General features: G+C 51.2%; 1 protein-coding gene and 2 long non-coding RNA genes across 5 annotated transcripts in view; 1 reads left to right on the forward strand and 2 right to left on the reverse strand.

The window, feature by feature from the left end:
* The window catches only part of FAIM2 (Fas apoptotic inhibitory molecule 2), a 37,005-nt gene extending 31,891 nt beyond the window's left edge, over positions 1-5,114 (reverse strand). Inside the window, exons 1-2 of one of the 2 annotated variants that reach the window (NM_012306.4) lie at positions 4,992-5,114; positions 2,344-2,539 (exon numbers count right to left, since the gene is read on the reverse strand). In NM_012306.4, the coding sequence (NP_036438.2) occupies positions 2,344-2,539; positions 4,992-5,006 (211 nt within the window). In that variant the 5' untranslated portion in view covers positions 5,007-5,114. Of the gene's footprint in view, positions 1-1,369; positions 2,540-4,991 lie in introns of those variants that run through there. The other variant, XM_005268730.4, reaches the window with a different exon arrangement.
* A 4,981-nt stretch (positions 5,115-10,095) lies between these two features.
* On the reverse strand, positions 10,096-13,077 carry LINC02396 (long intergenic non-protein coding RNA 2396). 2 transcript variants are annotated; one of them, NR_026948.1, is made up of 3 exons: positions 13,028-13,077; positions 12,387-12,504; positions 10,096-12,268 (listed from the first exon to the last, which is right to left on the reverse strand). It is a non-coding gene; the product is annotated as a long intergenic non-protein coding RNA 2396 (long non-coding RNA). The 2 variants fall into 2 exon arrangements; NR_146570.1 differs by lacking the exon at positions 12,387-12,504 and having other exon boundaries at positions 10,096-10,327.
* Positions 13,078-13,166: 89 nt separating this feature from the next.
* Positions 13,167-27,553, forward strand: LINC02395 (long intergenic non-protein coding RNA 2395). The gene is made up of 6 exons (NR_110048.1): positions 13,167-13,297; positions 23,140-24,895; positions 24,996-25,727; positions 26,150-26,301; positions 26,476-26,602; positions 27,295-27,553. It is a non-coding gene; the product is annotated as a long intergenic non-protein coding RNA 2395 (long non-coding RNA).
* The last annotated feature ends 432 nt before the right edge of the window (positions 27,554-27,985 follow it).

A 27,985-nucleotide genomic window follows, 5' to 3' on the forward strand; every position in this document is an offset into this window, starting at 1 on the left:
AAAAGTGCTGGGATTACAGGTATGAGCCACTGTGCCCAGCTCTGACTCTGGCTTGTGCTGAGGCTCTTGGGCTGGGAGCTGGGGACTGGTTGGCTGTGGTGGACCGCTGGTACTCCAGCTGGAAACCAGGGCTTCAGGGGGTGGGGGGCTGGAGGGGAAATAAAGCCAGGACAAGGGCAAGAAGTGGGGGTGAGGATGACAGTTCCAGGCCTAGTCCCAGAACTGAGGCTTTTGGAAGAGCATGAACTCCACAGTCAAACAGACGCAGGGGTGGATCCCTCCCCTAGAACTTACTAGATGTGTGACCCTGATAAAGTTACTGGCCTTCCCTGAGCCTCTTCTGATACTGGTTAGTGATACCCACCTCCTGGGCCTATAAACATGAAAGCCTCCAGGTCTGCGAAATGAAAGCCTATGCTCTCTGGTGGGAACTACACAGCCTCACCCTCTCCCATGTGCCCCTCATCGTGGCCATTTCCAAGTCCTCCAGTGTGTTCATTTTGTCCCTCCACTGTCCCCACTAGGTTTCCATGATCTTATTTGCCCCCAGCAGTAGCCTCTGTCTTGGTCTTTCAAAGCTGACCATGGTATTGCCCTGCTTTGAGCTCTTCAATGGCTCCCCACTGCCCTTCACTCAAGTTCAAGTTTCTTAAGAAAGCCTCCGCGGCCTCCCTGCGCAGCACCCTCCAGCCCCGCTATACATTCCTCCCCCGATCAGGTTCTCAACCCAAGTATATTTTTTCAACCATGTATTCTCTTGCCTGTGAGCCCCTGCACATTCTATTCTTTCAGCCTTAAACACTCATTTTCCTGCCTCTTCACCAGACTAACTCATGCCTATCCTTTGGGACTCAGTGTGGATACCGCTTCTTCCAGGAAGCCTTCCCTGACTGTTAGGTGGGTTAGGTAAGGTGCTGAGGCATCTGTCACTGTGTTTGTGTCACTGTGTGGTAGTTGTCCAATCACTTGTCTATACAGTCAGCTCTCTGAGGACAGAGATCCCAGCAGGTCTTGCAAATCAATGCATCCTCCGAAACAAACCCAGACGCGAACCCTGTGCCCTGGCACACACTTAGTAAATGTCTGTCATAGCTGCCTTCCTGCCTCGACAGTTCCTTGGAAAACATTCCTTAAAACAGCAGTCCTAGCAACGAGGATATGGGAAATGAGGAAGGGGGAGAGAGGTAGACCCACTGCAAACCTGAGGCCTGAAGACCCTTGCCCTCTTGTCCTTCACTTCTCCCTCGTGTCCTGTCTACATATTCTGCGAAAGCCCAGGTGGCCAGGCCACAGAGGGAAGGGGAAAAGAGAGGGAAAGTGGGCCGGCGGGTGTGTAGGGAAGGGAGGAGGACACCCACAAACACCAGACCTTCATTGACCCTCCAGTAGGTCACGGTGGGGTGAGTCTTCAGGGGTCTGCGCCCAGGGGATTTGTAGTGGGAGGTGTAGACCATGGTGGCTACTCCCTATGAGCAGAGGCTCTGTCTGGGGCATTGTCTCTGAGATCTCTTCTAGAATCCTGCTGGAGGTGGGGTGATAAAGTGGGAGAGGGGGAGGGGCTGCTGAGGAAGGCCACAGGGGCTAAGGAGGATTTCCTCAGAGCTTTTGGGAAGCTATACGTTCCTGGCCCCGAGGTAAAGCTCCCACAGGCTGCTTGACCCAACAGAGCAGCTCCTACCCACTGGGATTCTCGGTCTGCAGGAATCTGGCATCCACCTGGGTGAGTGTGCCCAGCTGTGGGGGACACTGAGGCTGGAAACCACACTCCCTCCCTGGGTCATGAACTCCTGCCCCAGCACGGGCTCGGGGAAGGGAACAGATATGAGAAGAGTGATTGGTGAGGTGGATCCCCAGACCCCTATCCCCCAACAGCCCTGGGGCCTCCGTGGAGACCTGTCCCCACTGAGGTTTCAGATCAGCCAGTGAGTAAACACTGCACCCCCACTCACAGGGGCCAGGCCCAGTGAAGGCTGTGGCCAGTGGCAGCCTCCTATGCCCCCTCCTTCTCTGTATCTCTTTTTTCTAGGAGTTCTTTCTTAACTAGCCCTTAGCTTTTCTCCCTCATCTGTCCCCTCCATTTGCTCTAGCATGGTGACTTGAAAAAAAAATGCCCTCTTCCCTATTGAGAGCACCCTGATGCAGACATTGTATCTCTCTCTGTTTTCATGGAGTTGTCTCTGACCTACCCTCAGACTAGTTCTCCAAATCCTAAGCATCTAACAACACAGCTTCATACAACCACACAGTGTACCTCTTTCTGGACAACTTCCTCCTACTCAGGTTTTCCCTCTGGGTCCACCCCCACCCCATGATGCTTCAGGTTCCAGGAGCTGAAAGACTTACTGGGGTCCACATAGGCCCAGCTAGGGTGGAGAGGCACCGCTGTGGGGGCTGGGGGGAAGGCCCCTGCCTTCATCCCCTCCCCAGAGGTGGCTTCCTCATAGGAGGGTGGGGCTGAGGGCACTGCTGGAGCCTCCTTCTTCTCGCCATGCACCTGCTGCTGCCCCTCGGTCCCAGGGGCCTTGTTAGCCACGGAGAGCTATGGAGTAGAGTCAGAGAGAGAGATAGTCACCAGGGAAAGGGAGCCTTCCAACTCCTCCTCCTCACCAACTCTTCAATTCCTGGAACTTTCATGGTTCCTTCCTTACCTGCACTTGGAAGCCAGGAATGCAGACAAGAATGTCTCTATTTTATAGACAAGAGAACTAAGCTCCAGAGGGGTCAGAGCTAGCTGGGGCACATGGTGGAGCTGGGATAGGAACAGAGGAAAGAGAAAATTCTTAGGAGTGTCCACCATTGGTTGTCACTGTCATTGTCCCTGGGGTAGGGGCAGGGTCTCTATGGTTCCAGAAAAGAGCCTGGCACATAGTAGATTGTTACAAATAAAAGGTTATGTCATTTAATCTTCCTGAGACTTGCTAGCTGCATTTTGACCCCTGCTTTAAAATGAGGAGAATGAGGATCACAGAGGAAGAGCGATTCATCCAAGGTCACAGAGCTGCATGTGGCCCACTGAGAGGCAGGGCCTAGGCATCATCCACTGGGATTGATCCTTCTGTTGCGCTGGAAGTGATGCAAGGAGAATGGAGATGGGAGAGAGAAGGGCAACAGAAAGGGAAGAGGAGAGGGAGAAAACAGAAAAGAAGAAGGGCCTTCAGGGTGGAGGAAGGGCAAGAGGATCCAGGCTAAGGGTCTGTTCTGGCCTCATCCTGTAGGAATCTCAGCCTCTCCCCTAAACCAGAACAGACTCACAGAGTGACCCAGTGGAAGGGGCCTCAGAAGACATCCAGTTGAGTCTCTTCCGTCACTGAACAGATGAGGAAACTGAGGCTCAAAGGGAAACGTCCCCATGGCAGGTTGGAAATGCGAGTCCATTTACACTCAGATGTGTCCCCTGCCCCCCACCCGTGGACATGTTTAGCTTTGGTGAGAGGATTTGAGCTGGGAAGGCCTGAATGAGGCAGCCAGAGAAGGAAAGACTGGGGTGGAGGGGGTGGTGTGAAATTGAAACAGCAACAAAAAGCCCGGCTCTCAGAAAATGGGATTTAGGTCTGGTTCCCAGAAGACTGTGTTAGACCTAAAGGGCCACTGAGGAAGACTGCGGACTTCCTTCTTTGCAGGGAGCATCTGGCTGAGGCAGCCTGGAGACAGGCACGCACCAGAAGACTTCTGGTTCCATCCAGGCCCAAGGACCACTGAACTGGAGCGGTCTTCTCCATCCCCCAGCAAGCCTGTGCGTGAGCTGGGGACAAGGGGCAGAGGAGGCAGAGGTCCCCCTCACACCAGGAAGGGAACAGCGCCACTAAAGGGCCTGGTGGAGGCAGGGTGGAGGTGGAAGGAGACTCAGCAGAAGGGGTGAGTTCTCCATGTTTACGGAACTGAACACTCCCCAGGCCTCCCACTGCCTCCCACTCCCCAGCCCCCCTCATCACCCGGATCTGAAGGATCATGTCCACCTAAATCGAGTTCAGCCTCCACCCTGCCACTCCGCCCCCCAGAGCCTCCTGGACCCTAATGCCCAGGCCCCCGACACACATACGGCACTCCCAAGTGAGGTGTGACCAATGGCGGGAGGTGGTATCACCCAGTGACATCATTTGAGGCCCAAAGAGCTTGCATACAGGGAGAGGAGGGTCTGAGGGTCCAGGGAAGGATGTCATTGGCTCTGAAGCTCCTCTCAAAGAGAAGAAGGGGGAGTGTAGGGGAGGTCCTTCCCCTGTTTTCTCTGCCCAATCCTTAGCAACCCAAACAGAGGGCCCGAGTACCCTCCCCCTTAGCCCCAGGCCCTAGTGGTTGTATAATTCCACAGGCTATTGATGTTACATAAGCCTACTAGGCCAGCCGAGTCTCTGCCCCAGCCCCTCCCCTACAATTCAGGCCTAAAACTGGAGAAGAGATGCTTCATCCGGACCCATCCATGCCTGGCCAAAACCAAAACAACAATTAGAGCATCTTGATGCAGAGTTGTCATAGCAAGCCCCAAGCACAGGGATGGAGCCAAGACGCCCAGATGTGGAACAATGGCAGGGAGTAGGGTGGGGGTTGTTTCCGTGGAGGGTGGGAAAGATGAGCATAAAGTGGTTGGGTTTGGGACTGGAGGGTTGGGCCAGAGGGGGTTGCCCGATAGGCACTGCCCCTCAGGGCTCACCCTGGCACACACATACCCATGCACACACATACAGTCACACCAGACGCCCGGGCTGACTCCTCACGGGGGGCCTGGGTATCTGTGAGGAGCCTTGTAATGCTGTAATGCCAAAGCAGGGGTGGCAGGGTGACAGGGGAGGAGAGGCGCGCCTGCGGGCAGGAAGAGGCCTCGGTCCATTCCTTGACACCGGCCTTTCGGTCCTCTGACTTCAGCAAGGACCACGGAGGACCTTCAAACTAGGGCCAGGGGAGGATGCTTTCGTGGTCCAGAGGGCTTGCTGAGGATGACAGGGAGCCGGGAGCCGGAGGATGGAGGATGGTGCAGGCTGGGGAGATGCCGGTACCTTTCCCTGGGTCATGGTGCCGTCTCTCGGGGAAGGGGTCCCTGAGGCCCGGGTGGCCGCTTGGGTAACCGCAGCCTGCCTGCGTCTCTTCCTTCCTCCGCGTGGGTTCTAGCAACATCCACTGCAGCCGGGCCAGGCGAGCCGGCGCGTACCATCGGCGCGGGGGGAGGAGAGGGCCGGGCCTGGGAAGATGCTGCGGAGGACGCTGCGGATTCGCGAGCCCGGGGTAAGGCGGCGGCGCACCGCCCCCTCCCGCCGCTTCCCCCCCACCCCGCCCCCCACCGCCGCCCTTAGCCCTCCCCCGGGATGAGAGAGAGTCGCGCTGCGGAGCAACCCCAGTGGATGGGTCCGCGGGGGCTGAGCGGGCGGAGGACGCGGGAACTCCGTGACACCGACCAGCTGACGCTGCCCGCGTGAAACCAGAGCCGGGCATCAGGGCCTCATCTCCACTGTCTCTGCACCTCTCTGCAGCTCCAGCTGCGCCTCTGCCTTTTCCTCCTCCCTCTTTGGATGCGGCCCTGATTTCTGTCTCCATCTCCACCTCCCCTCTCATCATCTATTTCATCATCCCTGGTAGAGGGGAAGGTCTGGAAGTCTCGCCTGTGCTGCCCGCTTCTAACAGGGCCCCTGGGCCCTGCGCTCCTGTGGGCCTGGGGCAAGCCAATAGCCACCTATCCTTGCTCCTTTTTCTCGCCTGTGAAATGCACACAGTAGGTCCCTCCCTGCCTTGGTTCACAGAGACATGGGGTGGGAGGACACCTCTTCTGTTTCTTTCAGCCCTGCTGGGACATTTCACGGGGTCTTTCTGGAGACACCGCTAGTTCTGTCTCAAAGCCTCTACAACCCCTGCCAGAGCTCTCTTCCTGCCTCCACGCTTAGCTTCCATCACCCCGTCTCCATCTTCCCCCCTTTTCCATTCCTCCCATGCCAGAGCTCGTTCTCCCCGCTTCCCCAGACGTGTCACTGGGACCCAGCCATCATCAGGCCCCGTTTTCTGTAGCTGCTGCAGTGTCACTATGGGGTTTGCAATCTCAAGAGCTGGGATCAAGTCCCAATTTAGTCACCCACTGGCCGCGTGGCCTTGGCAAGGCCCTTAACCTCTCTGAGCTGCAGCTCCTACGAAAAAGAGGCTTAGAACAGAGCTCTGTCCATCCTAGATTGACTGTCAGACGCACAGGTTATGGCCGTAAAAGCACATAAAAGACCAAGAAGTGCTGGAAGTATGTGAGGTATTATTAACTGAGGAGTCTCCTACCAGAATGTCCTGGGCTGCCCCAGAGCGAGCACCCACAAATCTGCCTAAAAGAAGTATCTGAACCTGCTAGGATGGGACGAGAAACTAAGACCTGGGACAGGTGGGGGTGGCCACTTACCTTCTGCTTCCCTCTCACTGCCCAGGGACCCACCTAAAGTCCCTGAGAAAGCAGGGCCCAGGTAGGCAGACAAATTATCAAAGTCTTTTTTTTTTTTTTTTTTTTTTTTTTTACAGAGAAAATCTTGTTCTGTTGCTCAGGCTGGAGTGCAGTGGCACAATCTTGGCTCACTGCAACCTCTGTCTTCCGGGTTCAAGTGATTCTCCTGCCTCAGCCTCCTGAGTAGCTGGGATTACAGGCGCGCACCACCACGCCCGGCTAATTTTGTATTTTTAGTAGAGACAGGGTTTCACCATGTTGGCCAGGCTGGTCTCCAACTCCTGACCTCAAGTGATCCACCCTCCTCAGCCTCCCAAAGTGCTGGGATTACAGGTGTGAGCCACCGTGCCTGGCCTAATTATCAAAGTCTTTATCCCACCCCTTTTTGCCCTTTGTCCCCCACTCCATAACCACCAATTTTGCACAAACACACTTAAGCCTGGGCCTCCGTGTCCAGAGGCTCTCTCAACCCTACAAACCCGAGCTCTTCTTCCAGCAAGCTGTGCCCTGGTCCCCAGCACTGCACCTGGAGCTCTGACCAGCTGGTCCAGGTTCTGGCCTTCCCTCCTTCTCTGCATCTGCATCCTGGAAGTGTTTTCCTTCTCCTGCTTGACAGCTTGAATGCCACCTCCTCCAGGAAGCCTCCTTCCCCCCCTAGTTGGGGTTAGATGCTCCTCTTCTGTAGTTCCCTAGCACCCTGATGTAACGCCTGTCACGTGGCGCTGTGAAGTTTCTTTGACTGACTCCCTGTTACACTCTAAGCTCCTGTAGCAGTTTTGGTGTGAGCTGGACTGAATGCAGTGCCAGGTGTGTGGAATGCACTCCATCAATTGTAGCTAGTAATATTTCCCAGACATGGCACTACGCAGAGCCTGACTTTCATCAGCCTTAGCACTTTCATGTTTGTGAATCACTCCTGTTCCTTCTCTCGCATTCACTCTGCTCCAGCCACACAGGCCTCTTGGCCATTCCTTAGACTGGGCTGAGCATGCGCTTAGCTGAGGCCCTTTGCACTGGCTGTGTCTTGTTTGGAAATTCTACAGATCATTGCGTGGCTCCCTCCCTCACTAACTTCACTACTCTGCTCAGACATTATCTCAGGGGTGGTCTTCCTGATCTTATACAAAGTAGCAGTGCCACCCGCATACCCCCACCCAGCAAATTGGACAGTCCCTTTTTTCTGATTAAGCTTTATGTTTTCTATGTCAATTGTCACCTCTGACATGTTTTGTTTTGTTTTGTTTTGTTCTCTCTCTCTCTCCCATTAGAACGTCAGCTACAGAAGAGGAGGAGTTTGGGGGTGTTGTGTCATTGCTTTACACCTGTGGGTTAAAATAGTGACTGACATGGATGTGGTGGGTTGATAAGTATTTGGTTGAGTAAAGTACAGCATTATACAAAATCCTTATATTCCTCAGACATGTTGACATTGTCAGTGCTATGATGTTTCTCAGATGTTGGACTCTATTACCTTGACATTGTGTATATGTCCCCCCAACTTTTTTTTGAGACAGGGTCTCGCTGTGTTGCCTAAGCTGGAGTGCAGTGGTATGATCATGGCTTGTTACAGTCTGAATTTCTGGGCTCAAGCATCCTCCTGCCTCAGCCTCCCAAGTAACTAGGGTATATGTTCCCATGAGGTGGTCTTTGGATATTACTCAAAAAAATTTTTGTTTTGAGGTGTAGTTTTGCTCTTGTTGCCCAGGCTGGAGTGCAGTGGCACGATCTCAGCTCACTGCAACCTCCGCCTCCCAGGTTCAAGCGATTCTCCTGCCTCAGCTTCCTGAGTAGCTGGGACTACAGGCGCACACCACCACGCCTGGCTACTTTTCCTATTTTTGGTAGAGACAGAATTTCACCACGTTGGCCAGGCTGGTCTCGAACTCCTGACCTCAGGTGATCTGCCCGCCTCAGCCGCCCAAAGTGCTGGGATTACAGGCATGAGCCACCGTGCCCAGCTGACATTACTCAAATATTAAACATTCGTGTAACATTCCTCTGGGATCTGGTGATAGTTAGGTGTGGTAGTCAAAAGCCAAGGCTACACAGTCAAGCAGCTTTGCTCCAGATCCCGGCTCCTCTATTTAAAAGCTGTATGAGAGCTTGTGAGAGATGAGTTGTGAAAGTTGTGAGAATGAGGAGAGTTAGGATTTGTAAGGCACTTAGAACAGAACCAGGCATCTAACACATGCTCTATGCATGTTTGATGACTATAAGCACACAATAAGCTCTTGGTGTTAGCTATTAGTGTTAGCCTTAAGGGTTCCACAAATATTGTTTAATGAAATAATTTCCACCACATAAGGCAGCTCAGTTCCACAGTTACTCATTTGTTCATTCATTTGTCATGTCTGTGGTCTCTGTCCCTGTTGACACATTTGGTAGAAGCCATTCTTCAAGAAGAATGAGATCCCTTCAGACTCACCCCCGGGCAGGAGGGGACAGGCAGTGCTGGGGTGGCTGAGGGCTGGGAGAATAGTGCCTCAAGGGAGTCAGAAACAGTAAGGGGCTCCCCAGGGGAGCTGGGGAGGTTGTTGGGGTAACATCCTCAAATCTCCACCCCATGATAGGCTTTATTCTGTTTGTACAAGGCGGGAAAGTAATGGGGAGTTTCAAGCTTTATTTTATTTTATTATTTATTTAATTTTTGAGACAGAATCTCACTCTATCGCCCAGGCTGGAATGCAGTGGCACAATCATGGCTCACGTCAGCCTCAACCTCCCAGGCTCAAGCGATCTTCCCATCTTACCCTCCCAAGTAGCTGGGACTACAGGCCTGCACCACCATGCCTGGTTAATTTTATTTTTTGTACAGACAAGATCTCACTATGTTGTCCAGGCTGGCCTCGAACTCCTGGGCTCAACCGATCCTTTTACCTCGCTCTCCCAAAGGCTGGGATTACAGGAGTAAGTCACTGTGCCTGGCCTCAAGGTTTTATTGAACATGGAAATGACGTGTTTAAAGTCATGCTTCAGAAAGACCAACCAGGCCAAGCGCAGTGGCTCATGCTTGTAATCCCAGCACTTTGGGAAGCCAAGGTGGATGGATCACCTGAGGTCAGGAGTTCGAGACCAGCCTGATCAACATGGCGAAACCCCGTTTCTACTAAAAATAAAAAAAAATTAGCTGGATGTGGTGGCACATGCCTGTAATCCCAGCTACTCGGGAGGCTGAGGCAGGAGAATCGCTTGAACCTGGGAGGCAGAGGTTGCAGTGAGCCAAGATTGCACTGCTGCACTCTAGTCTGAGCAATAAGAGTGAAACTCAGCCTCAAAAAAAAAAAAAAAAAAAAAAAAGATAAGAAAGACCAACCTCTGTAGTAATTTTTGCTATTACATTGTTTTCTCTTTTTTTCTTTTTTTTTTTTTTTTGAGGTGGAGTCTCACTCTCTCACCCAGGCTGGAGTGCAGTGGTGCGATCTCCGCTCACTGCAACCTCTGTCTCCTGGGTTCAAGCGATTCTCCTGCCTCAGCCTCTCAAGTAGCTGAGATTATAGTCACCACCATCATGCCCAGCTAATTTTTGTATTTTTAGTAGAGACGGGGTTTCACCATGTTTGCCAGGCTGGTCTCGAACTCCTGACCTCAGGTGATCCACCCACCTTGGCCTCCCAAAGTGCTGGGATTACAGGCGTAAGCCACCACGCCAGGCCTAATTTTTCTATTTTTAGTAGACGTGAGGTTTCACCATGTTTGCCAGGCTGGTCATTATATTGTTTTATTAAATAAGGAAGAAGATTTTGTCTGTGAACATGTGGGAGGGATGGAGAGAGGAAGAGATTGAAGGTGCAGCGGTAAGTGGAACTTTAGTGATGGCTCTTGTGGAGGGTCAGAGCCCGGCTCTGGAGCAGGCTGCGTGGGTCCCAATCCTGGCCCTGCACAAGACGCTTGACTTCTCTGTGCCTCAGTTTCATCCTCTGTAAACTGAAGGTTGTGAGAATGAGGAGAGTTAGGATTTGTAAGGCACTTAGAGCAGAGCCAGCCATCTAACACATGCTGTAAACATGTTTGATCACTAGAAAATAAGACACGTGATCCAGGGGCAGAAAAGATGGAGAAAAGGGACAGCATGGGACAGGACCGACAGGACTTGGGAAGACAGTAGAAGTGAGAGAAAGGCAGAAGGGGCATCAAAAAGGGCAAAGGTGTGAAGACTGAGTCCCTGGGAGAATGATACCATTATGAAAAGGGAAAGGAGCTGAGGTGCTTGGGCGGGGGTCAGGTTGAGTTTGAGGGCCTGTAGGACATCCAGGTGGAGATGTCCTGTAGGCAGTTGGCCAGAGGTTCCTGGTGCCCAGGAGAGAGGTCCGGGCAAGGCCTCCTCCCTGCGCAGCCCCAGGAGGCACCATGCACTGTGTTCAGGGGGAGGACCACATCCCTTCCCGCCCTGGGGCCCAGCCCTGGGGCCCATGGAGTTGAGTGCTGGGCTGGTGGTGGAGGTGTGGGACTCCTTAGCTCATTAGCATGCAGACAGTGGCTGAACCCTGGAGTCAGTGAGCACCCCCACTGCAGAGTGAGGCCAAGGAGAGAAGAAGGGGATGAGTGGATCCCAGGCAGCAGCTATGAGCAGGAGAAGATGGAAGGAAGTCCTGTCCTCTCTGTAGAATTCCCCCTGCCATCTTCATCACGAGGCTGCTGTGACCGTGGAGAGGCAAAGACCAGCCGGGAATATTTTCAGGGCTGCTCTGAGGGGAGCGAAGGTCTGGCCGCAGGCATTGCCTCTCTCCTCCTTCCAGGCCCACGCCATGGCAGTCCCTCCCACTCCGCAGTCTGCTTTTGTTGCCAGCTCTGTCTGGGGCAAGTGTGGGTTGGCGGTGGGGAGGGGCAAAGGTGTGGGCGGAGGCAACTTCTCATTTTACAGATGTGGAAGCACAAGGCCAAAGAGGTTGAGTGACTAACACGAGGTTACATGACACGTTGGGGCCGAGGCCGGTGAGAAGAATGCATTTGACCCCGCGTAGGCACCATCAGCTCAAGAGGGTTTCAGCGACAACACTGAGGCTGGGAGTCGGGGAGGAGTTGGGAGGGTCTCAGACCTCCTAGGTGGGTAGAATCAGAGCTATCCAGGCGCCTCTCCCCAGATTCTCACCAATAACCCCCTGACACACAGACCCGCACACCCAGCCTGCACCACTCTCTGCCTCCTCACCGTGCAAGAAAAGAGAGAACCTGTGCTTTTGAGGCCAGTGATGGGGGCGCAGAGGCAGGGGCTAGACAAGGCCCAGCTCACCCACAGTAAGAAGGTTCTCAGGTTGGGCCACAAGAGGTGAATGGGCCAGGCCAGCTCAGGCATCAGGCTGCTTGCTCCCTCCTGGGTATAGCCGGGCCTCAGCTGTGGCAGCCTTTCACACCCTTCAAAGCCTGCCATCACCCTGCAGGCCCCTGGCCCCTACCCTTCTCACTGTTCTTCACAGGGGTTCTTCCTGCCTCTCTCATCCCCAGCAGCCCCACAGCAAAGAACCTGACACTCCTGTGCTGACCAGCCAGAGGCTGGTTGCAAAACCCCTCTCTGCTGCAGTCCTACTCCTGCCTCCCCATGCCCCTCACACTGTGCCTCTCCAGATATGGTCTCCAAAACGCGGGACAAGAAGCCGAAGCCTCGGGCAGGCATCGGCATTCTGAGTCGCCATGCTTCCCAGCTGCAGGAATTGCTGGGTCAGGTGTGAAACCACATTTCTGTCCCTCCTCATCTCTGTCTCACCTCCCCTGCTCCCCACACCTGGGCTTTGCTGGGAGTTGGGGCTGAGGCTGGAGCAGTCCTCACTGAGCACAGAAGAGCCAGGCCCCAGGCTTGTCATCCCAGCCTCACATTCCAAAACTCTCAGCCGCATCAGCTCACTCCTTGGTAGGCCTGGCACAGGCCCTCTGCACGTTAGAATAACACAAAAAAATCAAGTTTTCAGGTAACTAAAGTTCTAGGCCAGGCTTAGCCCCTCCCTTGCAGCAGGCCCTCGAAAAGTCAGTTCTTTCCCCAGGGTCTCACGGGTTCTGTTGCCATCGCATGTGCCGCTATGTGCATACATTTCCGTTTCTCCACCAGATGGAAAGTGCCTTAAAGATATGGGTTGTGTATCTCAAGCCTTCCTGCTCCATCCCTTGACCTGGTAGAGTTCAATATTGAAGAATACAGGGTTTGGGGTCAGATCAATCTGGGTGCCAATTCTGACTCTCCCAGTTACTAGATGATTGACCTTAGGTAAATCTGAGCCTCAGTTTCCTCATCTTTACAATGGGTATCCATGAACTGATTTACTTATTCAAACAATATTTATGAGGGCCAACTCCATGTCAAACACTGATGTGTGTACAACAGTGACCACAACAGACACAAATCCCGGCCCTGTGGGGTTACTTCTTAGTGGAGACTATTGGTGCCTGGCCCAGAGAGTGATTGTGAAAACTCAGTGAGATGACATTTGGACAGGGCTCAGCACATACGTCATATGTCAGCCTGGCATACGACAGGCCTGACAAGTTAGAGCCATTATTGTGAACATCCATTCTGAACCACAGAACCATTTGCTGAGAATTTACTGTGTGCCGGCACCATGCTAGGTGCTAGGGAGACAAAGACGTGGAACTCTCATCCACACCCTCAAGGAACTTATAGTCGAATGCACCTACCGAATGTCAAATGCCACCATCCTCATCATTGTTCAGAAGCTTATAACCAGCACCAACTTGTATTACATGCAACAAAGAACCATGACATTCTAGAATGTCAGGTACAACAGAGACAGCTGTTTGTCCCCCAGTATCCTTCAGACAAAGCCATATATGATTGAAGGTTATCAGTACTGTGCTTTTGGAGGATTCAGAAGAAGTTATATCTGATTGGGAGATTGAAAAGGATTGGCCTGAAGGAGAGGTGGTTTTTGAACTGCATCTTAAAGGGTAGGCTTCAACAGACAAGAGACAGTGATGTTGGGGGAGGAGAATGAGGCCCTGCAGGGGACCAGAATGGTGTGCAAATGAAGGCGTGGAGGAAGGAAAACATGAGGCGCCAACTTTGAGCTGAATCCTAGGAAGAAGGTGGCCTAGCCCAGAGTGAGGTTGGAGGCTGATCCAGGCAAAGCAGCTGTATTCACAGGGACAGGAGGCAACTGTCTAAGAGGTGGGGTTTGAGGGACCCCCTTCCCAGCCGTCTACCCTTGGCCGAGACTATAACAGGCTCAATATTCCACCACTAAAAATTCATTTCCTTGAGTAAGCCTCCAGTAGGAGACAGACCATCCCCAGAGGAATAACATGAAAGGATAAGTCTGGGCCAAGGAGGGAGTGATGAGGAAAAGACAGCTGGGAACAGCGGAGAGCCAGGCGGGGCCAGGGGCCAGAGCCCTCAACTTGCCAGGCCTCTTGCATTACCCTACTTGTCCAGGCCATCCATACTGACAGAGCACTGCTCGGCTGTGGGAGGCAGGACTGGGTCACTGGAAAGGGGTGGGCAGGTGTCGGTGCTGTGTCCATGACCTCCCTTTGCCTGGCCAGGGCTCCTCAGCCCTTCCTGCTCTGCCTGCGGGACGTGGGCAGGGCCACGTCCACACAGCAATGCCATTTTTCAGTGCAGTTTGGCCCGGCAGCAGTGTGGGTCACTCCTTGTGTGCTTGGGTGGGGACCAGAACTCATTTATTCAACCAAGTGTTTCCAGCCCAGCCTGAGAGTCATGTCGTGAGCTAGGAGAGCAGAAGCAAGCAAGAGACCCCCTCCCCGCCCTCCAGGAGCTCACAGTCTAGAGGGGGAAGCAGGTCTTAAGTAAATAGCCACATGCTGGAGTGCAGAATCACACATGGCGAGTGCCTCAAAGCCAAAGCCCAAGCTGCCTTGTGGAAGAATAACAGGGCAGTAATGCAGATGGGTGGAGGAGCACGTCCGGGGGAGGCCTCCAGCAGCCCCGAGTGATGAGGTGGGGTTGGCGAGGGGATGAGTGTTCTAAACAGAGGGAACACCTGTGCAAAGGCTGTAAGATGGGGAAGTACCTGGGGCATCAGGCAGATCATGCCAGCCTTGTGGACAGGGGAGGGCTTTGGGAAGTTACAGAGTAAGGGAGGTTGAAGGGGTGGGCACCCACTCAGATTGGCCATTTAATTAATTAATTAATTTATTTATTCATTTATTTTGAGACAGTCTCACTCTGTCACCCATGCTGGAGCTGAAGTACAGTGGTACGATCTCAGCTCAGTTCAACCTCCGCCTCCTGGGTTCAAGCAATTCTTGTGGCTCAGCCTCCCGAGTACCTAGGATTGCAGGCATGCACACCATGCCCAGCTAATTTTTGTATTTTTAGTAGAGACAGGGTTTCACCATGTTGCCCAAGCTGGTCTGGAACTCCTGACCTTAAGTGATCCACCTGCCTCAGCCTCCCAAAGTGCTGAGATTACAGGTGTGAGCCACCGCATCCAGCCCAGATTGGCCATTTTAGAAGCCCCCCTGGCTGCAGGACAGAGAAGAGACACGCGGAAGCTACCGCTGCCATTATGGGAGAGGTGATGGTGGCCTGGGCTTGTGTTGGGCATTGAAGGTGGATAAAATTCACAGATTCAGGGGCTGTTTAAGGGGGGATCTGGTGAAGGGCTGCCTGGCGGTAGAAGGTGAGAGAGAGGGAGAGGTTTCCAGCTTGAGTGGACATGAGGAAGACAGAGGAGGGTCCGGCCCATTCCTGGAGGGTTGCCATTGCTAGTGAGTGGCTTTGGCTCCTTCCCAAGCCCCTTCACTCTTGTTTGACTGGGTTGATAATGGTAAGAATTGCTGCCATTTATGCAGCACTTAACATATGCTAGGTCCCATGCTAAGGATGCTACGTGGATTGTTTTGTTTAATCCTCCCAACAGTGGCAGGTCCTCTTTCTCATCTCCATTTTATAGACAGGAAACTGGGACTTAGAGAGGTTAAGTAACTTGCCCAAGGTTGCCTACAACTGGCAGGTGATGGGGCCAGCTGCCCAGCCCTGCAGTCAGCCCCCAGAGCCCAGCTCTCAGCCTCTATGCCGTACTGCTTCAGGAACTTGGGGTCTCAGCCTGCCAGTGAGGTTAGGTGAGGTTAATGGCAGCTCCTTCACTGAGCCAGGAGGCTCCCTGCACGGTGTGAGGTGTGACACGTCCAGGTACTTAACAAGCGCCACATCCCTACCCTTTCTCCCCAGCCAAAGCTGTTTCACAAGCCAGCAGCCTCGTAAATATTTCAGCAGTGTCTGTGTAGTCGAGGCTGTGAAGCCTGTCCTCTGGAGCACTTGTGACAGCGAGATCTGGGAGATGTCTCAGGGCCTGTTGCAAGCGTTTGATCAGCTGCATTTTCAAAAAGACCTTTCCCTGAGCAGCTGACAGTCTCTGGGGTGAAAGAGATTTGCAGACTTTTTCTGGAGAGAGGCCAGAGCATGAGCCGACCCAGGGGCCCAGTTGGAGCCTTTTGGCTGTAGCTGGCCTCAGTCATTCAGTCCACAATGCAGAGAGAACCCCTACTGGGTGGCTGACACTGTGCCAGGCCCCACCCTCAAGATGCTAGAGAAGAGATAGGACAGGCCCAGGTTAAACTCAGTACCAGGCAGGCTGTGGAGTAAGGAAGGACCACAGCAGAGTAAAGCAATGGAGACCGAGGTCTCAGAAACCCTCAGGGAAGTTGGCATTTTAACTGGTCTTTGAAGACCAGGTAAGGCTTTTAAAAATGTATATTAAACAAATTAATTTTTCCCATTATATATGTAGTTAAGACATGTTCATAATTTTTTTTTTTTTTTGAGACAGTCTTGCTCTGTCGCCCAGGCTGGAGTGCAGTGGCGCAATCTCGGCTCACTGTAAGCTCCGCCTCGTGGGTTCACGCCATTCTCCTGCCTCAGCCTCCTGAGTAGCTGGGACTACAGGCACCTGCCACCACACCCGGCTAATTTTTTGTATTTTTAGTAGAGACAGGGTTTCACCGTGTTAGCCAGGATGATCTTGATCTCCTGACATCGTGATCTACCCACCTCAGCCTCCCAAAGTGCTGGGATTACAGGCATGAGCCACCACGCCCAGCCGACATGTTCATATTTTTCAAAATTTAAAGAAGGCTGGGCGCAGTGGCTCACGCCTGTAATCCCAACACTTTGGGAGGCCGAGGTGGGCAGATCACGAGGTCAGGAGTTCGAGACCAGCCTGGTCAACATAGTGAAACCCCATCTCTACTAAAAATACAAAAAATTAGCCGGGCGTGGTGGCACACGCCTGTAATCCCAGCTACTTGGGAGGCTGAGGCAGGAGAATCATTTGAACCTAGGAGGCAGAGGTTGTGGTGAGCCGAGATTGCGCCACTGCACTCCAACCTGGGCAACAGAGCAAGACTCCGTCTCAAAAAAAAATTTTTTTTAAAGAAAATGTACAAAAGTAAAAAGAAGAGGGGCTGGGCACAGTGGCTTAAGCCTGTAATCCCAGCACTTTGGGAGGCCAGGACGGGAGGATCACTGGAGCCCAGGAGTTTGAGACCAGCCTGGATAACACAGATAGATCCCTGTCTCTACAAAAAATAAAATAAAAAATTAGCTGGGTATAATGGCACATGCCTGTAGTCCTAGTTATTCAGGAGGCTGAGGTGGGAGGATTGCTTGAGCCCAGGAGGTCGAGGCAGCAGTGAGTTATGATTGTGCCACTGCACTCCAGCCTAAGTGACAGAGGGAGATCCTTTCTCCAAAAAAAAAAAAAAAAAAAAAAAAGAAAAAGAAAAGAAAAGAAAGAAGGAAGGAAGGAAAAGAAAAAGTAAAAAGAAAATAGTTACCTAGTTCCAAAACCCAGAGAAAACCATGGCTAAAACGCAGGTGTGTTTTCTTCTGGTCTTTTCTCTGTGTTACACTTCTTTCTTTGTTCACTGAATTTTGTAGCTTAAGCATTTTGAAGGATAACATTTTGGCAAATGCAATTGAAGGAAGGGGTGGAAAGGCATTCAGAATGGAGGAGACAGCAGAGCAAGGGTGTGGCGTCTACAAGCTCTTTACATACCCAAATCAGAAGTGATGGAGCTCACTTCCGGACGAAGCTCAGGTGGGACCCTTGAGCTTCCCAGACCCCCTACTTCTTAGCTCTCTGATTGGTTAATGGGCCACACCCTTGGCCCAGCCTCAGCCCATTTTCCTGCCTGGCACCACAGGCTGGAGTTCTGGGCAGGGACACAAGGCTGCAGCCTCCCTTCTTCCTGGCAAATTCTCCTGGGGAGGTGGAGCCTGTTGCTTGGATAATGGAGTTGTGTTTCCAGCTCCAAAACTAGGTAAAGAGGACCAGATCCCAGAATTGATAATCTAGATCTGTTCTGTCCAATGTGGTAGCCACTAGCCACGTGTGGTTAGTCAGCACTTAATATTCAGCTAGTCCAAGTTGAGATGTGCTATCAATGTGAAATGCACGCTGGATTTCAAAGACAGTATGAAAAGCAGATACAAACTATCTTATTTATAATTTTATATTGATTACATGTTGAAGTGATCGCATTTTAGGTATGTTGGGTTAAATAAAATGTTATTAAAATTAACTTTACCTGTTCTTTATATATTTTTTTATGTGACTATTAAAATTTATTTATTTATTTATTTATTTATTTATTTATTTATTTATGGAGATGGCCTTGCTCTGTCACCCGGGCTGGAGTGCACTGGCATGGTCACAGCTCACTGCAGCTTTGACCTCTCTGGCTCCAGTGATCCTCCTACCCCAGTCTCCCGAGTAGCTGGGACTACAGGCACATGCCACCATGTCCAGCTAATTTTTTTTTTTTTTTGTATTTTTTGTAGAGGCAGGATCTCTCAATGTTGCCCAGGCTGGTCTCGAACTCCTGGGCTCACGTGACCTGCCCGCCTCAGCCTCCCAAATTTCTGGGATTACAGGCCTGAGCCACCACGCCCAGCCCAAAACAAGTTAAATTATGTGTGTAACTCACATTTATGTCTCATGTTATTTTTCTTTCTGTTGAACTATGCTGATCTAGACTGAACCATTCCCCACTCTCTGGAGGGCAAACCCACAGGGCGATGTTATGGGGAGACTCGGATGGGAGGGACTGTGACATGTGGGAGAAGGATCAATCCAGACCAGGCTGGAGACAGGAGGAATGTGAGGGGGCTGCACAACTAAGCCTGACCAGGCTCCTGGGAAGAGGGGCGCGTGGAGCAGATATTTTCTCCTCCACTCTCATATTTCCCTGTTAATAGACTGTGAGCAACCTGGGAGAAATAAGACCGTGCTTTATTCATCGCCACGCCCTCGGGGCCAAACGCAGCGCCTGCCATAGAGCGAGTGCTTGCAAACATGCACTGAATTAATGAGTGAGTGAGGGATAGAATGGGGAGAGAATCCAGACAGCAAAGAACTGTGCTGAGATGGTGCCAGTCCTGCCTGGATGGTTCCAGGGTGCAGGGTGTTTGGAGATTTTAATCCTTAAATCCTTTAGGCTATAATCTCCCAGAGAGCGGGGTGGCCACACTCTATACCCACATATGCACTTCCCAGTAGCTGGAGACAGCTGGGAACAGGCAGTGAGGACACCTGGGGTCATCACATCCAGCCTCCTGCCCCTCTGAGCCCCTTCAAAGGAGTAGATTCTTCTCCCTCCTGCAGGCAGCCTTGGAGCTCCAGCCTGCTCCTTCCCCAAACACAAACACACACACACACACACACACGCCTGGGAGAAACTTCAGTGGGTCTCTCCACACTCAGGCCAGGATGGTAAAGGTTGCCCAGGCAGCCCAGGGAAGGAGGTAAACATGCAGCTGCCTCCACCTGGCCCGGTTCTGCCCGCACTTCAAGCTGGGGCCCTACCCTTGCCTAAGTCATGGGTCAGCGACTCTCAGGAGCACCTTCCTCACACACATTGACTCAAGGTGAGGTACCACAGGCAAGTTTCCACAGTCCTCACCCTTAGCAAGCCTCTTCTGGCCCAGCAGTGGGCAAGGTAGGGATGTGGCAGCATGGGGAGGACCTGTGAAGGCAGAAAAGACACCACAGTGGCTCACATGGATGCACGGTTAGCTCTGTACTCTGAGAGGCAGCCTATTGTACAACATAAGCAGCAGGGCTCTAGAGTTCCTCCACCTGCCCACCTGCTGTGTGTAACCCTGGGTAAGTTAATCAACTTTTTTTTTTTTTTTTGAGATGGGGTCTTGCTTTGCTGCCCAGGCTGGAGTGCAGTGGCATGATCCTGGCTCACTGCAGCCTTGACCTACCGGCCCCAAACAATCCTCCTACCTCAGCGTCCCAAGTAGCTGGGACCACAGTATGCACCGCCACACCTGGCTAGTTATTTTTATTTTAATTTTTTTGTAAAGATCGGGTCTCCCTACATGGGTCAGGCTGGTCTCAAACTCATGGGCTCAAGGGATCTTCCCACCTGGGCCTCCCAAAGTGCTAGGACTACAGGTGTGAGCCGGCACACCCAGCCCACCACTAACTTCTTTAGACCTTGGGTTCCTCCAAAATGGGCACAGTACAAGTCCCCTGCCCATAGCGTGGTTCAGAGATTGACTGAAAACAAATCAAGTTCTTGGAGCAGTGCCTGGCACCTAGTGAGTGTTGGGCATTGGTGATCACCATGACACAGTTTAGTTCCCTTTGCAGTTGGGGAAATGAGGTTCCAAGAGGATCAATTCCTAGAAGCAGTTATAAAGACAAAACGGTTTTACATCATTCAGATTTTTCTTTAACTTTTTATTATGGAAGTTTTCCAACATATATAAAAGTGGAGAGAGTAATATAATAACCCCAGGCGCTCATCACCCCACTTCACTGATTACCAACTCACGGCCAATTGAGCTTCATCTCTAGCCCAGCCATACCCCCTGGGTTCTTTTGAAGCAAATCTCAGACATCGTACCATCTCATCTGTAACTATTTCAGATGCGTCTCTAAGAGAAGAGGACTTTAACAAATAGCTATACTACTATTATTATGCCTAAAAAACTAACAATAATTTAATATTAAATACTTAGTCACTGTTCCAATTCTCCAGTTTTCTCATTTACACAATTGTTCAAATTAGGATTCAGATAAAGTCCATATACTGTATTGCAAATGATTAATGCTTCTTAAGCCTCTCTCTCTCTTTTTTGTTTCTTTTCATGCCTGGCTTAATTTTTTCATTTTTTGTAGAGACGTGGTCTTGCTATGTTGCCCAGGCTGGTCTCAAACTCCTGGCCTCAAGCGATCCTCCCACCTCAGCCTCCCAAAGCACTGGGATTACAGGCATGAGCCACTGTGCCTTAAGGCTCTTTTATTTATTTATTTATTTTTGAGATAGGATCTCACTCTGTCACCCAGGCTGGAGTGCAGTGGCGGGATCTTGGCTCACTGCAACCTCTGCCTCCCAGGTTCAAGCAATTATTGTGCCTCAGCCTCCCAAGTAGCTGGGATCACGGATGTGCACCACCATGTCCAGCTAATTTTTGTGTTTTTAGTAGAGACGGGGTTTCACCATGTTTGCCAGGTTGGTCTCAAACTCCTGACATCATGTGATCTGCCTGCCTCAGGCTCCCAAAGTGCTGGGATCACAGGCGTGAGCCACCGCGCCCGGCCTTAAGTCTCTTTTAAATTATAGGTCCCCTTTTTCTCTTTTTCCACCCTTACAATGTATTTGTTGAGGAAACCAGGTCATTTTTGCTGTAGAATTTCCCAGAGTCTGGAGTTTGATTGCATCCCTAAATCTAGAGGCTTGAAAATCCTATAGTTTTCAAAATAATGAGCGAGTTCCCTAGCATCTCTGAAAGTGATCATTAATTTTTATCATAAACTTATGGATTTACATACATTTGAAATGTTTCAACACATTGCCATTATAGTTAGGGTATTTTGTTTTTCTTTTTTGTCTAGATGGAGTCTTGCTCTGTCATCCAGGCTGGAGTACAATGGCGCAATCTCGGCTCACTGCAACCTCTGCCTCCTGGGTTCAAGCAATTCTCCTGCCTCAGCCTCCCGAGTAGCTGAGATTACAGGCACCCGCCACCACACCCGGCTAACTTTTTGTATTTTTAGTAGAGACGGGGTTTCACCATGTTGCCCAGGCTGGTCTCGAACTCCTGACCTCATGATCTGCCCACCTCGGCCTCCCAAAGTGCTGGAATTACAGCTGTGAGCCATTGCGCCCAGCCAGTTAGGATATTTTTTAAAAATTGTTTTTCCAGCTTAAGTTTAGGGAGTAAGGGTGATTACAAGGGACAACATAGAAAAATTGAGAGAACTCTGGCTTTGGAGGCAAACAACCCGTGGGTGGAATCCTGGCTCCACCACTTACAAGCTGGATGGCTTTGGTCAAGTTACTTCACTTCTCTTTCCTTCTATTTCCCCACCCCCCGATAAGGAAATGATTAATAATAACTAACATTTCCTGAGTGCTTACTGTCTTCCAGGCATCGTGCTCAGCGTCTTAAAGACATGATGGCAATTTAATCCTCCTATCAGTTCAGTGAAGCAGGAGTCGTTATTATTGTCCCCACTTTAGAGATGAGGAAGAAACTGAAGCACAGGTGGTTGAGCAATTTGTCCAAGGTTACACACCTAGAAAGGGGCGCGGCAGGGACCTGAACCGGGGCAGTCTGACTCCACAGCCCACTGTCCTCTAGCGGTTGTTGTGGAGAAGAGAGAGGGTGATGGTGATGCCCTCCTGCAGGCCCTGATAGATGGGAAGACCAGGCCAGAAGGTGAGCAGGGCCGTCCCTGGCACTTCCCCTCAGGGATGGAGCACAGTCAAGCCTGGCGTGTGGGGGGTGCAACCCCTATTGCAGCTGCAGTCTCTCCCCTTCCCCAGACTCCCCCCTCACCTGCTGTGACCCAGACCCTTGCATAAGAACACAGCTGTTCTTGGTGAGTTCTGTTTCCATTGCCATTATGGTTCTCCTCCTAATTGTTTCATTAATCAGAAAGGGCTGATCAATGCTGGGAGGCCAAGGTGGGAGGATTGCTTAAGGCCAGGAGTTCAGCCTGGGCAACGTAGTGAGACCCTTCACCTCTACCCCCGCCTCTACCAAAAATTAAATAAATACAATTAGCTAGGCGTGGTGGCACATGCCTGTGGTTCCAGCTACTCAGGAGGCTGAGGAGGGAGGATTGCTTGAACCCAGGAGGTCAGGGCTGCAGTGAGCTGTGTTCTTACCACTGCACTCCAGCTTGTGTGACAGAGCAAAATCCTCTTGTAGTTGTGGGTGGGGGGGCGGTAGGCAGGGTGCAGGGAAAGAGAGAGAGAAGGAAGGAAGGAAGGGAGAAAGAGAGAGACAGAGAAAAAGAAAGAAGAAAGGAAAAGAAAGAAAGAAGAAAGGAAAGAAAGAAAGAGACGGAGAGAGGAAAGAAGGAAGGAAAAAAAGGAAGGAAGGAAGGAAAGAGGGAGAGAGAGAAACAGAGAAAAAGAAAGAAGAAAAAGAAAGAAAGAAAGAAAGAAAGAAAAAGAAAGAAAGAAAGGAAAAGAAAAGAAAGGAAAAGGAAGGAAGGCGGGAGGAAAGAAGGAAAAAAGGAAGGGAGGGAGGGAGGGAAAGAGAGAGAAAGGGCTGACTGCAGGAAATCTCCCCATCCCCATGCTTCTCCAGAATCAGCTGGCCTGGGGGGTCCTTGGGTCACCTTAGAGGGCAGAGATCCTGAGTGCAGTTGGGCAGAGTGAGGTATTGATAGGAACACTAAGGATAGTACTAACAGTCATCATTTACACCTCGTGTGTGCCAGGAAGGGGCCAGGTCCCACATGATCTCAGTTCATCTTTACAACACCCTGAAGGATGGTCTTGTTATCTTCTCCATTTTGCAGATGAGGAAACTGAGGCTGAGAGGGTAGAGAACTTTGCCTGAGGTCACTCAGCAGGTAGGTGGTGGAGCCAGGGGTGTAACCCGGGCTGCGGGCCTCCACATCAGATACAGACAGAACAGGAAGGTGTTGCAGAGGCTGGCGATGCTGCGATTCTCTGGGTAGCAAAGGGAGGGGACATTCCCAGCAGAAGGAACGGTTTGTGTAAAGGTGTGGAGGTGTGATACGGTGTGGCCTGTTCAGGGTGGTGACTAACAGTGGCCAGAGTGAAGGGTGTGTAGAGAGGAGTGCCAGCAGATGAGGCAAGGGGCTGGGGACTGGGGCCAAGGTGGAAGAACTTCAGGTTCCAGGCCAAGGAAATGAACTTTGTCCTTGGGTAGAGGGGTGCCACAGGAGGCATTGAACAAGAGTGCAACCTTGGGTTTGTATGGTGAGCCTCCAGCAATACCTTGGCAGGTGGGATCCTCATGTCCACCCCGGGTGCCAGCCACATTTTACAGGCTGGGAAACAGAATGGTTATGAGACCGGCTCAGACCACACAGCAATAGACAACTGGCCCCAAGCCAGTTCTCTCGTTGTCACAGGACGTTGCTTCGAAACTCAGGTCATAGTGAGAAAGGCAGGGGCATCCTTCCGTTCCTCACTTCTCCAGCCCTGTGCCTGCTCAGCTCACTGGAGAACGTGAAATGAAGATCAACTGGACCGAGGCCCAGGCATATCTGCTCACCAAGAATAAGACAGAAAACAATAAAAGCAAATCATGGAGCTCCAGCTATGTGCTAGGCACTGGGCTGGGAGGAAACTAAACAGAGAACAACAGTGCCAGGCACTCTCTCTGATAATGAGTGTTCTGGACTGAGGGTCCCCCAGACTGGCCTAGGAGGTGCTGTCCAATCCGCCTGAAGAGCTGGAATGGGCTCCAAGTGGAGAGAACTGTGGGATTGCTGGCTCAGCCCCCAACTATGCAGTGACCTTGGACGGAGCGGGCCCTCTGGGAGCCTTGGCAAGCCAGTTGCTAAGAGGGGAGACTGCACCAGAGAAGGGATTTTTAATATATGAAACCTTGGGGAGCTCCTCAAGCTGACTCGGGAGGTCTGGGGTAGGGACTCTGATTGGGGTGTTTTGACAAGTTCCACCGGAAACTCGGAAAGCACACCTGGTTAGAAATAACTAGATGATCAAGGTCCTTCCAGATTCAGTTCAACAAATTCAACACAACACATGTTTACTGAGCACACACCATGCCAGGTGCCATTCTGCAATGTTAGGATACATCAGTGAGCAAAATAACAAAAAGTTCTAGAAGTTAGAGATACTGTGGACAGGGGAAAGCGGTGCTAGGCAAGGTGGTGAGGAGGGCAGGGATGTGGCAGTTCCAGGACTCAGCAGGATGGGCAGGGCTGGCCTTGTTGAGAAGGAGACTGGAAAAAGCAAGGGAGCCAACTGAGTGACATTTGGGGGAAGAGCATTCCAAGCAGTCAACAGCAAGAGCAAAGGCCCTGACAGGGAGCACGCAGGCAGGGTGGCCAGCGTGGCTGGAGCGGAGTGGCCAAGGGCTGGGGTGGGGTGAGGGGCAGGGGCCAGCTGTGGAATGCTGCTCCTACGTGCTAGTGTTCTAAGACTCATTCAGCACTGCCCTGAGTATCTTGACTCTGAACCTGTCCCTGCCCTGACCCCTTCCCCAATCAACTTTAATTTTAGGGACCCACCCATCACAGTAAATGCCAGCACTGCTGATGCCAAAACAATGTTATTTGTGTAAGTATGTGTTTTGTATTTTACCGCCTTAATCCTGTCTTCAACCTCTCCTCTTCTGTCCCACCCAAGTATCTGCCCTTCCTTTCTTGACTCCTTCCAGAGGCCCTCGGAATTTGTGACCTGAAGGAAGAAGAGCAGGGCCGTGGGAAGTATGTAACCAGTGTCATGCCCCTGGTCCCAAGGAAGCAGTGGCTTGGTAAAGAGGGGACCCCCGTCAATAACTCCCTGTAATTACTGGGCACCCACTCTGAGCTCCTCAGTGGAATCCTAAGGTTAATAAGACTGTCTCTAGCCACTGGGGCTCCCAGCCTGGAGTGAGGTAAGAGGAGTGGAGCCGGCTGGGGAGGGAGACGAACACATACACAGAAGATTCAGACACACTTGCAATGTATTGCTGGGGATTCTCCAGCATTGGCATGATGGAGAGGGTGGAGAATCATTTGACCGCCTCCGCCTAGGATTGCAGAGTTCAGCTGGCCATCATCCACCAGCCGGGGGACTGTGCACATCAGTTAACCTCTCCTCTCAGGCCTTGAAAAGCACCAGGCTTAGTACACGTTTGTTAAATGAATGCACTGCAGTTTTTTTGCTTGTTAAAGGCAGGTAATAATAATGATATTGCTGACTAAGGGCTCCCATCCACTCCCAGTGAGCCCGGTGCCCCCCCGGGCCTCCTCAGTGAGCTGAGGAGGCTCAGCAGTGCCTGCACGTCCCCTCGCCACAATGTCATGTGCCACCTCTTCAAAGGAGGGATGTACCAGCTAGTGGACGTGACCTTGACTGCAAAGGGCGGCACGCAGCTGATGTAATGGTCGCTTAAGTGTTCACAAATGTAAGTCATTACTATTATAAGTGGTGGGTGATCAAGTGGCTAGGGGTGCCATCTTTAGCAAATAAAAATATAGGACGCACAGTTAAATTTGAATTTCAGATAAGAATTTCTTAGCATAAGTATGCCCTATGCAATATTTGGGACACATTTATATCAAAAAAAACTCAATATTTATCTGAAATTCAAATGTAACTGTGTGTCCTAGATTTTATCTGGCAGCCTTATTGATGGTGGCTTATTGACTGGCTGGGAATGACAGGGGTGTAGGCCAGGAAATGGCTCTGTGAAGGCTGCCTAGAACTGAATCGAACATGAGGATGAGTCAGTGTCAAGACTCCCAGTGGGGCCATCGGATCATTACTGCATGATCGTCTTAAGCCTTTGTTAGTGAATCCCTCAGACTCACGCCTTCTTCTCTCCAGGCCTGAACACCCTGTCCTACCTGGTCCTACCTGGATGCTGGCCTCAGTAAGCTCCTGGGCTCATTGAAGATGAACCTAGCAGTAGTATTTACACCACTTGTTGTGTGCCCACTGTGGGCCCGGCGCCATGCCGAGTGCTCTATGGATGTGAGGTAATGAAGCTGCATGGGTGGGATTCAAATGCAGGGTGGTCTGACCCCAGGGCCAAGATCTCTTTCTATTGCACCATGCTATGGCCTGATCAAAGACTCAAGCATCTAGGACAGAGAAAGAGGGAGCAGGAGGGGACACAGAATATCCTAAAGTGGCCTCCTACTGTGTCCCAGGCACTGTGTTAGGATTCACTGAGTTGTCACAAAAATCCTGCAAAGTTCATTCTCGAGGACGCTCTGGAATTTAAATACCTTGCCAAGATCATACAGATTAAGTGGTGGAGCAGGGATTTGAACGGAGGTCTGTCTCACTGCAAAGCCCAAGTAATTTTGCCCCCTTTTGTGTGTATGCATCCTGGGATGATGTGTGCATGCATGTGTGTGTGTATGCGTGTGTGCGTGCATGTGTGCATGTGTGTGTGTATATGCGTGCATGTGTGTGTATGTGTGTGTGCATGTGTGTGCATGCGTGCATGTGTGTGTGTATCGTGCATGTGTGCATATGCGTGCATGTGTGTGTGTGTGTGTGCATGTGTGTGTTCCTACAGTCACATCCCACCTTCGGAGTGGCGCTTTCCGGTCCTACCCAGCCCTTCCTCTCTTGGGATGGGTCTAGGGCCTTGGAGGTGATTAGACTCTAGTGGTGCTGGCACAGGGCTGGCTTTCTCAGCATATTTCAGGGGACTGTGTCCTCTGCCTGCTGTCCCCCAATCAGTAGCTTCTCTTGGGACTTGCCCTCCCCTGCCAGGGCTAAGGTCTGGTTGGTTCCCAGGCCCCTGGGCCTTGGACAGGGGAGCTGGGGGGTGAGGGGTGGTGGATGGTGGGAGAGGGCAGGACCGGCAAAGAAGAGACTGACAAATACCATGGATGTCTCATTTTCAGTTCCTGCTCTGTCACTCCCACACACTTGCTCTCTGCAATCCCTAGAATCAAACAGTATTCAAACTGGAAGAGGCCTTAGAAAATAACTGGTCTTCTCTACTCATTCTACAGAGAAACGGAGGCCCAGAAAGCAGAAATGATGTGTTAAGATCACTCATCAAGCTGATGGTACAGAGGTTAGAGCCTCTGCTCCCTGCTCTACCTCTTTCCCTTACTCCACATCCATGCCTGTCTCTTCCAATGGGTCGGCATCCACCCTGACACATTAAAGCCAAAAGGAACCTTAAGCTAGGGAAGGGGCTCCAGAACTTTAGTGAAAGATTCAAACATGTCCACTCAACTCAATGGAGAAAATACAATATTCAATCAATGGTGTTGGGATGCCTGGAATATTGTTGGAGAGGGATCATAAAAATGGAACCAAAACAATTCCATTTGGGTCAAAGATTTAAGTGTCATAAAGCCATGTAAATTCTATAAGGAAGTATGGGTAAATTGATTTACATTTTGGAATAGGAAAGTCTTTCTTTTTTTCCAACTTTTATTTTAGATTTGGGGGATATATGTGCAGGTTTGTTATAAGGCTATACTGCAGGATGCTGGGATTTGGGGTACAATCAAACCCATCACCCACATAGCATAGTGGGAAGGCTTTTCTAATCAGGATGGAAAACCCAGAGTCATACAGGAAAAGACTAATACATTCAACCACATAAAAAAATTTTAAACTTCTGTATGGAAAACCACCATAGAAATGTTTTTCCAATAACTGAGGAAAATATGATATGGGGATATTTCCTTA

This window comes from Homo sapiens, chromosome 12 (genome assembly GCF_000001405.40).
Source record: "Homo sapiens chromosome 12, GRCh38.p14 Primary Assembly".
NCBI classification, from domain to species: domain Eukaryota; kingdom Metazoa; phylum Chordata; class Mammalia; order Primates; family Hominidae; genus Homo; species Homo sapiens.